Consider the following 12,186-nt stretch of genomic DNA (forward strand, 5'->3'; position numbering starts at 1 on the left):
GACCTTACAGTCATGGCAGAAGGTGAAGGGGGAGCCAACATCACGTAGCGAGAGTGGGAGCAAGAGAGGTGGGGGGAGGTGCCACACACTTTTAAACAGCCAGATCCTGTCAGAGCTCAAGATGGTGAGGACAGCATCAGGCCATGAGGGATCTGCCCCCTGACCTAAACACCTCCCACCAGGCCCCACCTCCAACACTGGGGATCACATTTCAACATGAAATTTGGAGGGGATATCCAAACTATATCAGTGACTGAGTCACTTACTCTCTCTCTGAGCCTCAGTTTCCTCACATTTCTATACAGGGTGGGCTCCCAGTTACAACTGCTGCCTTTCGAACCACCCCAGAGCCAGTAGCATAAAATCCTCATGTATAATGTTCACAGATTCTGTGGGTCAGCAGTTCTGGAGGGCACAGCAAGGTGCTTGTCTCTGACCCAACAAGTAAGACGACTCAGTCTCAGTTGGGAAGACCTGAAGGTTGGGGTGACTCTAGGGCAGAGGGGTGCAACCATCTGGATGCCTCTTCACTCACATGTTGGGCCCCTGGTGAGATGGCTGGAAGGCCAGGCTCAACTGGGACTGTCCCCTGCGCTCCTACACGTAGCTTCTCCAGCAAGGTGGCCTCAGGGTAGCAAGTGGTAGGGCTCCACCGTCTCCCAGTGGACAAGAAGGACACCACATTGCCTTCTGTGAGTTAGCGTCAGGAGTCACATGGCATCACTTCCCCGGTGCCCTATCAGTTGAAGACACCACAAGCCACCCCAGCTTCAAGGAAAGGGGACACAGACCCAATCTGTCAATGAGAAGAGTGTCAACGAATCTGGGGGCTGTTTTTAAATCCACCACAAGTGGTGCTCAGAATATTTAACAACTGGTGCAGCACAACCCACTCACCTGAATGGGTGCTGTCTGCAGGGGTGGAGCAGAGCTCGAGTAGCGGCCCCTGCAGGGCCAGGCCTCAACCCTTAGTGCTGGATGGCAGGGTGTCTGTGGGGCCCCAGGGGAGGCTCCTGGGTGTTGGGGATGCAGCAGCTATTCACCAACATGTCTTAGTCTTTTCAGACTGACATACAAAATACCATAAATAGGTGGCTTAAATAACAGACACTTATTTTGCACAGTTCTGGAGGCTGGGAAGTCTAAGATCAATTCAGTTCCTGGGGAGGGCCTCTTCCTGGCTTGCGGACGGCTGCCTTTTTGACACGTCCTCCCATGACCTTTCCTCTGTGCTTACACCTGGTCACGGGGGGAAGAGCTCTCTCTCTCTCCTGCTCTTTTCATAAGATCACTATACCATCATGAGGGCCCCGCCCTCATAACCTCATCTAATCCTAATTAGCTTCCAAAGGCTCATCTCCAAACACCAGCAAACTGGGGGTAAGGGCTTCAACAATACACAATCAGACTGTAACACAGCAAGGCAGGGGCCCTTCGGGAGTTTAACAACCTTTTAGTAGTTGTATCAGTGTGCGTCTCTTGGATCCCAGCCCTGGGTGAGAATTCTTATTCCTTTTCTTTCAGTTCAAGTCCTGCTTTGTGTGCAGACTTGCTTTCAGTTCTGAGCCATTGCCTAGCTGCTTTCTGCCAAAGCTCTTTAGAAAGGACTTAGAGGGGCCAGGCGTGGTGGCTCAGTCTGTAATCCCAGCACTTTGGGAGAACGAGGCGGGCAGATCACGAGGTCAGGAGATCGAGGCCATCCTGGCTAACACGGTGAAACCCTGTCTCTACTAAAAAATACAAAAAAATTAGCTGGGCATGGTGGTGGGCCCCTGTAGTCCCAGCTTACTCGGGAGGCTGAGGCAGGAGAATGGCGTGAACCCGGGAGGCAGAGATTGCAGTGAGCAGAGATAGTGCCACTGCACTCCAGCCTGGGTGACAGAGCGAGACTCTGTCAAAAAAAAAAGAAAAAAGAAAGAAGAAAGAAAGGAAGGAAGGAAGGAAGGAAGGACTTAGAGGATCTCTCTGCCCTGCAAGCTCCCCTGACCACTGGTTCGATGGGTTCTTTTGCAGCCCACCCCAAAACAGGCCTCATGTGGCCAAACAGGAGCCTTGAGAAGAGCTGCAGCCAAGGAAATTTGGTCAAGTCCAAGTACATGCCCAGCAAGGGGATCTGCTTAAGCAGAGTCATGAAGTTGATCATCTCCCCTGATGGGGCAGAATGGACATCACCCCCACTGCCTCCCTGCCAGCAGAGAAATGTGGGACAGGCCTGGAAGCAAGAGGTCTCCTCAGATTAGAGGGGAAGCTCTCTCTGCCTGGGGTCAGAGCTGGAGCAGCATGGGTGTAAGGGGTCACGGCCCCATGTGCTGACTCCCACCAGGTGACCCCCATGGCACCTGGGGAAGGAAGCAAAGGGGCCCTGGCCAGGACACCAGCAGCATCCACAGCACCTGCTAATCATTTTTGCTGGAGTAACCTTTTGGGCACTTCTGGTAAAGCAGACACGCTCCACAGGTGCTTTTGCAATTGCTCTTTGGAATTTGTTAAAAACACACCTATGTTTTTAAAGATAATTTGGAGTCTGCCCAGTTTAATTTCAGCATAGGGGAAAAATAAGGGAATAGTGACAAAGTTTCTTTGCTTGAGCAAACTTGAGTCAGGCTCCTGAACCTTCTAGGCTCATCTGTGTACTTTCTTGTAAAATTCAATTTGAGCAAGAATCCCACTAAGTCAATTCAGCAAGAACTCCCCTTGTTCCTATCTGACCACTCCCAATATCCGATCAGGGTCCTCATCCTCCACCTTCCCAGGTGATGTCTGGTCACCCTGGCCTTTCTTCAGCAGGTCTCCTGTTAGGTCAGTTTAGCCAGCATCACCCTCACCCCTGGCATTTCCTCTTGGTAATTTTCCATCTTTCAACTCCTACCTGCTCCATGGCTCCAAGTCTCAACTTCTCATGCTGTTTTTAGAATCAGCCTGACTGTATATTGAGGTCTCTTTTCGCTTATTGCAATAGTCCTGAATAAAATCTGGTTTTACTACTTTATCGTCTAGCTCTGGTTTTTCTTTGCCATAGGTATTCCCTACCTGTAGCCTTGCCATAGCTCTATCATCGTTGCTTTTTAATTCCCTCCAAGAGATGATATCTACATATACTCCTTCTCTATCCTCAGATCAATGTTTTGCATTTCCTAGGAGCTGAATTCCTTTTCTTCCATTGCAGCACTGGCTGGGAGAGAAGGCACAACATGGTCCAGCATACTGAGCCCCAAGTTTGTCCTGCAGCATGATTTGAGACACAGTGTTCGTGCCGCACAGAATTCTGTGAGCCGTCCAATAGCCTTTCATACATTTGTTTTCTGCTTAAACTACAGAGTAGATGCTCTTGTCAGCACCTAAGAACACCCTCTATTACACAGAACTACACCCTAATGACATTTTATCTGTTTACGTGTCCTCTCAGAAAAGCTGTGAGCCCCTTGAAGGCAGGAACTTTATTTGTTTTTAAACATTCAGGGCCTAGTAGATAGCAGGCTTTCAACAAATATTTTTGAATAACAACAAACAAGAGTATGGACTTTGGGAACAGGAGAGCCTAGTAGCCAGCGAGCCTGAGCCAATCCTTGATGGCCTCCAATTCTGAGAAGAATCTCTGGGCCCCCTTAGGCTCCCTGTGGAAGAAAGCTTACCCAGTCAATCCTAATAAAAATACTTCTGAGACAGATCTAACAGGACAAAGTGGAGTCTCTCCACTCTTTCAGTAGCTCCTTCACCCCAGGTGCTGTTTGGGGTTCTGACACTGCCATGGCATGGCCAGCAGGATGGCCCCTAGGGCTCCTGGGGCTGCTCTATAAGAGCTTCCCACCCCTGACCTGCAGTCCATGAGGGCAAAGCCAGATCCGGGCACATGCCCATCCGTGTTGTTCTCATGCTCTCAGGGGGTAGAGCTAGTGTGTTGGACTTGGCATGTTTAGGGTCACCTCCCTGAGGGTTGACAACCTGAGCAAAATCAGCATTCCCTTGGCAAGGAATAAAGGGGGAATGGATTTGTGGTCAGCAACCCACCGCCAAGCATTCTGCCTGCAACAGGGTGGGGCTGGCCAGGGGAGGCTCCTCAGGGAAGGTGAAAGCTGTGCAGAGTTTTGCAGGATGACTCAGTGCTTATCAGGTAGACAGATAAGGAAGAACATTCCAGGGAGAGGGAGGAATGCTAACAACAGCAGGGGATCTGGTCTGTACTAGACATGCCAAAGGAATGGTGTGTCCATATCAACAGAGGAGGGAGAGACAGAAGAGAAAGAGCTTGTCAGGGCCTGAGTCAGAGCGGGCTCATGCTGTGGGGCTAAGAAGCTCAAATGATTTCCAGAGACAGTGGGGAAGCTTTACAGGGACAGGCAGGGGAAGATCTTAACCCGGCTTTCGTAGGCCTCTGGCTTGAGTATAGAAGGTGAGTCTGGGACAGGGAGCCCAGCGCCGAAGTGTTGCAACACTATAGGGAGACATACAGACCAATTCCCTCCCACCTAACAGCTCTGTGCTTTGGGGTCCTGGGTTAGTTTCCTGGGAGAAGGCTGGCCTTGGCTACCTCTGTCCTTGACCAAGGACATCGTTTTAAATATTTGTGATGTGTCCTAGGCCACTGCATCTCTGTCCCTGTAGCGAAGAGAAGATACTGATTCCTAAGCTCCTACTCTGAGAACACAAATATCTGCAATACCTCGGTAAGCCCTAGGCCTGAGTGTGAGGTTGCAGGCACTTCCATGGCCCCATGCAGGTGTCTAAGTTCCCTCGTGGTATTTGGCCAAGGGGGGCCCTGTGTGATGCCCTAGCGCGGTGACTACCCGTGTTCCTGGCCCATGGGCATCTTCCACGGAATTCTGGGCTTAGCCTGGGGATTCATGCGGGCGCATCTCTGTGATCTGCTCTGGAGCAGGATGTACATCAGGTCTCTCAGACCTGAGTCCCTGGTGCCTGGCGCTCAGCCTTGACTGAAGTGCTCGGCCCACCCTGCTGGGCCAGCCAGCTCCTGCTCAGGGCCACAGCCCTGTAACCACGGCTTCCTCCCCAGGACTCAGGAATTCTCCCACTCCGGAATGCCTTGCTGCTGGGGTGACCAGGTCTTCACTTGTGAAACAGGAGTCAGCCACCTCAGCCCTGCGCCTGGCCTGGTGGAACATGGGTCACCGCCCCAACCTGGGGCAGCCGCCCCATCCCAACGCAGTTGCTGCCGCTCTCCATGCCTCCCTGTGCCCAGCTAACTGGGGGACTTGTCCCCTGGGAAAACCTGGGTACCCAGGCTGCCTTTGGTTTCAGCCCCTACTCCTCTTCCCGGGCTGCCTTTGCTCCCCGGAAGACCCCTTTCCCCGGGCTGTGTTCACATCGGCTGGGAAGGGTCCCTTGCAGACAGATCTTGGACGAGGTCGCGTCCCCCCTCGTGACCAGCAAACTCCTAAAAGCGGCCCTTGCCCCAGAGCCCCTGTAGCCTCCAACCGGCAGTCAGGAGGCAGCGCCGTCTCAGCGCCGCTTAGTGGCGCCAGGCGTGCCTGGAAATCCGCTTTCGCAGCGCCCCCTCGTAGCCGCCTCCGCCCGCAGAAAGGCGTTCCCTGGACAGAGAAGCGGGCGCGCGGGGGCGGGCGCGCGGGGCCTTGCCGGAGAACCTGACTCTCCGCAGCAGCAGTGGAAGCCGGAGTGACGCGTTGTGTTGAACACCAGTTTTCTGGAGCGCTGTGTGTTCTTAACAGCTGAGCAGTCTGTTTCTCCAATCAGGTTTCAAAGCCACTTCAACTGCACTGGCCCCTGTGGGTCACTGCTGCACCGCCCTGACCCATGTGGGTCCCTGAGGAGCGACCTGCCGGGGCCACCTGGCTGGACGAAAAAGACACACCTTGGACTTAAGCCGTGAGAAAAAAACTTCATCAGTAAGAAGAATGAATAAACAGACTAGGTTGAATCCATACAATGGAATGTTAGCAGACAATAAAAAGAAAATGAACTATTGATGTCCCCTACTGCACAGCAGAAGCTCTGAATCGTGTTCCTGAATGAAAGAAGTCAGGTATGAAAGAATAAACATTGTATGATTCCATTTATATGAAAATGAATCTGTGATTTAAAAATCAGACTAGTATTAGGTTGGTGCAAAAGTAATTGCGGTTTTTGCCTTTTTTTTTTTTTTTTAATAGTTGCTTTGGGGTTTATGGATGGAGTGGCATGGTAGAGGTTAGCTGAAGGGGGCATGAAATAACTTTTTGGGGGTGCTAGAGTGTTGTAAATCTTACAGTGGGGGAGGGACAGGAGTGCAGGCATTTGACAAAACACATTGAATTGTGAAATTTAAGATTTTTGAATTTCTTTGTATGTAAATTACCTGCCAATAAAAACATGACGAATAGAGCAGTTATGAGCATTTGTGTGTAGCTTTTTGTGCAAACTTAAATTATAATTTCTCTGATAAAAGCCCAGGAATGTGATTGTTGAGTAATATGGTAAGTGCATGTTTTTTGAGAAACTGTCAATCTATTTTTGGGAGTGGCTGTGTGTATCATGTTATATTCTCACAAGCAAGGGATGAGAAATTTGGTTTCTCTGCATCCTTGCTAGCATTTGGTTTTATCATTATATTTTTATTTCAACTGCTCAAATAAGTGTGCAGTGATTTCTCATGATCTCAATTTGCATTTCCCCAAAGGCTAATGATGTTAAATATATTTCCACATGCTGATTTGACTCGGCCATGAAATGTCTCTTCATGTCTATTGCCCAATTTCTTATCAGATTTTTTTTTTTACTGTTGAGTTTTGAGAGCTCTTTATGCATTGTAAATGTGAGTCCTTTGTCAGATATGCAGTTTGCAAATATTTTCTCCCCTCCATAGCTTGTCCTTTCATCATCTTAACAGAATATTTTGCAGAGGCAAAGTTTTTAATTTTGATGAAGTCCAATTTATCAATTCTTTCTTTAATGAATCGTACTTGGGTGCCATGCCTATGAACTCATCCTCAACTCCTAGGTCCAGATGATTTTCTCCTGTGTCTTCCTATCATAGCCAGAAACTAGAAAAGAACCAAAATGTCCCTCACTAAGTGAATGCTTAAACTAAGTGACACATCTATGCCAATATTCAGCAATAAAAAGAAACATTATTCATGCAAATAACTAAATGGATGGATCTCAAGAGCATTAGGCTAAGTGAAAAAAACCAATCTCAAAAAGTCACATACTGTACGATTTCACTTGTATAACATTCTTCCAGGGGCAAAATTATAAACAGTGAAAACAGATTAGTGGTTGGCAGGCGTTAGAGGCGGTGGTGGGGAAGTGTGACTACAAAGAGGTAGCAGGAGAGATCTTGGGATGATGGGATAGTTTTGTGTCTTGGTGGTTACAGGAATCTACACATGTGATACAATGTAATAGAAGAACACACATTGTGCTAATGTCAGTTTCTTTGTTTTGATATTGTTTTGTAGAATGTAAAACGTAAACAGTGGAGAAACTGGGTGAAGGATATTGGGACCCCTTCACAAATTCTTGTCAATCTATGATTATTTGAAAATTTAAAAGTCTAAACATACATAAAATAAAAACCTAAAAGGCAAAAAAGTAATGCACGCACTTGATAAAAATCAAGTAGTACAAAAGAGTAAATGGTGAAAATAAATCTCTGCACCACTCTAGAGACCCCAGCCAAAGTCCTCTCCAAACTCTCTCACAGTTATTAAGTTTCTTGTATATGCTTCTAGAAATTCATCTTGCATATGCTTCTAGAAAATCAAGTAGTACAAAAGAGTAAGTGGTGAAAATAAATCTCTGCACCACTCCAGAACCCCCAGCCAAAGTCCTCTCCAAACTCTCTCACGATTGTTAAGTTTCCTGTATATGCTTCTAGAAATTCTCTAGGAATACGCAAAAATATATGTACTTTCCCTACTTCTCTAGCTTTTGTCTAATGCTAGTCTTCTTTCTATTTTTAATTATATGTATTTAATATATCTTTAGGAAAAATTAATACTTTTTAACAGCAGTGTAAGATTTCATTGTGAATGTACCATAATTTATTTAACCAATCTCTACTCATTTAATCTGTTTTTGGTTGTTTAGGCTGGTTTCGGTAGCTTGTTATTGGAAGTTATTGCAATAAACATTCTTATATTACTTTGTATCATCATAGGATAGACTCCTAAAATATTGTGTTTAGATCAAAGGGCATGTGGAATTGTACTTAAGATAGATTTTGTCAAGAAGTCCCCATTCTCATCAGTACAGAAGGAAAATACCAATTTCCTAAACCTCTTACTAAGACAGTACATCTTCAAAATTTGATCCTCACTCATCTGGTGGACAAAGTATAGTAATTCAGTGTTTTAGTTTGACTTCCCATGATGACAAGTGAAGCTTTAAACATGATGCTTTTTATATATTTAAAGGCCTTTTGTGTCATTTTCCTGTGAACTGTTGGCTCAGGTCCATCCTTCAGTGGAGTTTAGTGAATCTGCCTCATTTCCCTAATCAATTCTGTCTCTTACCACTGGAAAGGAATACCACAGTTGTTTACCCATTCGTTGACGGACATTTGGATTGTTTCTACTTTTCGGGTGTTATGAATAATGCTGCTTTGAAAACACTTGTACAAGATATTGTGTGGATATAGGTTTTCAGTTCTCTTGGGTATGTATCTAGGAGTGGAATTCCTTGGTCATATGATAATACTACACCCAACTTTTTGAGGAACTACCAAACTGTTTTCCAAAGTGACAGCACCATCTTATGTTCACACCAGCAATGAACGGGGTTTTCAATTTCTCTGCATCTTCACCAACACTTCTTATTGCCTGTCTTTTTCTATGAAAGCCATCCTAATGGGTGTGTAGTTGTATCTTATTGCGGTTCTATTTGCACTTTCCTAATGACTAATAATGTCAAGCATCTTTTCAGGTGCTTTTTGATCATGAGTATATCTTCTTTGGACAAATATTTATTCAAATCATTTGCCCATGTTTTAATTAGGTTATTGTCTTTTATTGCTGAATTGTTAGAGTTCTTCATATATTCTGGATACAAGTGGCTTATCAAATTTTATATATATATATATATATATATGTATATATATATGATTTGCAAATACTTCTTCCCATTCTGTGGGTTGCTTTTTGACTTTCTTGATGGTGTCCTTTGAAGCACAAAAGCTGTCAATTTTGATAATGCCCCACTTATTTTTTTTTGTTTGGTCACTTCTGCTTTTGGTATTATATCTAATAATCCTTTTACCAATCCAAGGTCATGAACATTTGCCTCTATGGTTTTATAGTTTTAGCTCTTACATTTAGAACTTTGGTCCATTTTGAGTTAAGTTTTGTACATGATGTAAGGTAAGTGTCCAGCTTCATTCCTTCACATGTGGAAATCCGGTTGTCCCAGCATCATTTGTTAAGGCTTTTTTTTAATCCTCTTGAATTGTCTTGACACCTTTGTCAAAAATCAGTTAACCATAAATGTGAAGGTTTAATATTGGATTTTCAATTCTATTACATTTCTAGTATTGGGCTATCTTGATTACTAGATGTTGGTAGTAAGTTTGGTTTTCTTTGGGGTTTGGGGGGGTTGTTTTGTTTCATTTTGTTTTTGAGATAGGGTCTTGTTCTGTTGCCCAGGCTGGAGTGCAGTGCCTTGATCATAGGTCACTGCATCATAGACCTCTTGGGCTCAAGTGATCCTCCCACCTCGGCCTCCCAAGTTGCTGGGACTACAGGCACACACCACCACACCCAGCTAATCTTTTTTTTATTTTTTGTAGAGATGGGGTCTCATTATGTTGCCCAGGTTAATCTCAAACTCTGGGCTCAAGCAATCCTCCCAACTTAGCCTCCCAAAGTGCTGGCATTACAGGTGTGAGCCACTGCACCCAACCTGTATTAAGTTTTTAAATCAGGAAGTGTAGTCCTCTCTCTTTCAAGATCATGTTGGCTATTCTGGGTCTCTTGCATCTGCATGTGAACTTCTGAGAAAAAGGCACATAATCTTTCAATCAAGATTGCATTGAATCTGTAGACCAATTTGGGAAACATTGACATCTTAACAATATTAAGTCTTCCAAATCCATGAACATAGGATGTTTTTTCATTTATTTAGGTCTTCTTTAATTTCCTTCAGTGGTGTTTTATTGTTTTCAGTACGTACAAGTCTTAGACTTATTTGTTGAATTTATTCATAAGCCTTTTATTTTGTCTGATGCCATTGTAAATGGAATTCTGTTCTTAATCTTATATTCAGATTATTCATTGCTAGTGTGTAGAAATACAATTGTTTTTCATATTGTTCTTGTATCTGCAATCTTGCTGAACTCATTTATTAGTCGTAATAGTTATTTTGTGAATTCCTTAGATTATGTCATCTGTAAATATAGTTTACATCTTTCTTTTCAATTTGGATGCTATTTTTTAAATTTACATACTTATTTGCATAATTGCCCTAGCTCAGATCTCTAATACAATGTTGAATAGAAGTGGTGAGCATGGACTTCCTTTCCTTCTTACTGGTCTTAGAAGGAAAGTATCCACTCTTTCACCCTTTGGGATGATGTCAGTTGTGGTTTTTCATAGATGTTCTTTATTAGATTTCATAAATTCTCCTCTATTTCTAGTTTTATGAGTGTTTTATCATGAAAGGATATTGATTTTGTCAAATGTTTTTTCTGCATCTATTGAGATTAGGTGGATTTTATCCTTCATTTTATTAATGTGGTGTATTAATTAGATTTATTTTATTATGTTAAACCAACTTTGCATTCCTGAAATAAATTTCACTTGATTGTGATACATAATCATTTTTATATGTTTCTAGGTTTAGTGTGCTAGTATTTTGTTGATAATTTTTGTATTAATATTCATGAAAGATATTGCTGTGTTCTCTTAGAATGTCTTTTGTTTTGGTATCATGAGAATAATGACATCATAGAATGAGTTGAAGTTTGTTTCTTCTATTTTTGGAAAAGATTGTGAAGAATTAACAATAATCTTTTTTAAATGTTTGGGAAAACTAATCAGCGAAACCATTTGGTACTGAGCTTTTTTGTGCATGGTGAGTTTCTTAATTACTAATTTAATCCCTTTACTTACTAAGGTCTATTGAAATTTTCTATTTGTTCTTGATTCAGTTTTTGTAGTTCCTGTCTTTCTAGGAATTTTTCCATTTCACCTAAGTTAAAATTTTGCTGTCTTACAATTGTTTATAGTATTCCTTTATAATCCTTTTATTTCTATGAGGTGGTAGTGGTGTGCCCTATTTCATTCTCTAAACATTATTAATTTAATAATTTAATTCCCTATACATTAATAATTTAATAATTTAATGTATAGGGAATGAAATAGGGCACATAACTTTTTTCTTCTCAGTCAAGCTAAAGGTTTACCAATTTTATTGCTCTTTTCAGTGAAGCAATTACTCTTGTTTTTTCCCTTAGTGTTTTTTCTATTCCCTGTTTTATTTATTTCCACTACAATCTTTATTATTTTCTTCTTTCTGCTTGCTTTGGGCTTAGTTTGCGCTTCCTTTTCTACTTTCTTAAGGTGGAAGTCTGGGTTATGGAGATCTTTCTTCTTTTTAATATAGGCATTTACAGCTATAAAAGTCTCCCTAAGTATTGCTTTGACTGCACCCCATACACTTTGATATGTTGTGATTTTATTTTCATTCATTTCAAATAATTTTCTAATTTTCATTGTGATTTCTTCTTTGACCCATTGATTATTTTGGAGTGTGTCATTTAATTTCTACATATTTGTGGATGTCCGAAATTTCTTTCTGTTTTTGGTTTTGAATTTCACTCTGCTATTGTTAGAGAACATATTCTATATGATTTCAATTATTTTAAATTTACTGCATTTTGTTTTATGGATGAATATACATGTATGTGTTTTCTATTGCTGCCATAACAAATTACCACAAATTTGCACCTAACACAAATTTATTATCTTGTGGTTCTGAAGATCAGAAGTCTGACATGTCTTATTGGGCTAAAAATAGGAATCTGTGTGGTTGTATTCCTTTGTGGAAATTCTCGGAGAGTTCCCTTGTTCATTCGAGTTGTTGGCAGAATTCAGTTCCTGCAAGTTGTAGGACTGAGATTCCCACTTCCTTGCTGGCTGTCAGCTGAACTGTTCCCAGCTTCTAGAAGCTACCCACATTCCCTTATTAATAGTCCCCTTCCTCCATCCTCAAAGGCAGCAATGGTGGATCAAGTCCATC

General features: G+C 43.0%; 1 long non-coding RNA gene across 1 annotated transcript in view, besides 1 other annotated feature; it reads left to right on the plus strand.

Annotated features, from left to right (window-relative positions):
• Nucleotides 3,827–4,442: an enhancer, noted in NCBI's record as "NANOG-H3K27ac-H3K4me1 hESC enhancer chr10:47152525-47153140 (GRCh37/hg19 assembly coordinates)". NCBI's record gives its function as "activates a minimal SCP1, AML or CMV promoter by ChIP-STARR-seq in naive H9 embryonic stem cells {active_cell/tissue: H9 hESC(naive)}" and the evidence as "EXISTENCE:reporter gene assay evidence [ECO:0000049][PMID:30033119]".
• The window catches only part of LINC00842 (long intergenic non-protein coding RNA 842), a 54,945-nt gene continuing 48,325 nt past the window's right edge, over nucleotides 5,567–12,186 (plus strand). Inside the window, exon 1 of the long non-coding RNA NR_033957.2 lies at nucleotides 5,567–5,998. This is a non-coding gene — a long non-coding RNA (long intergenic non-protein coding RNA 842). The remainder of the gene's footprint in view (nucleotides 5,999–12,186) is intronic.

This window comes from Homo sapiens, chromosome 10, assembly GCF_000001405.40.
Source record: "Homo sapiens chromosome 10, GRCh38.p14 Primary Assembly".
NCBI lineage: Eukaryota > Metazoa > Chordata > Mammalia > Primates > Hominidae > Homo > Homo sapiens.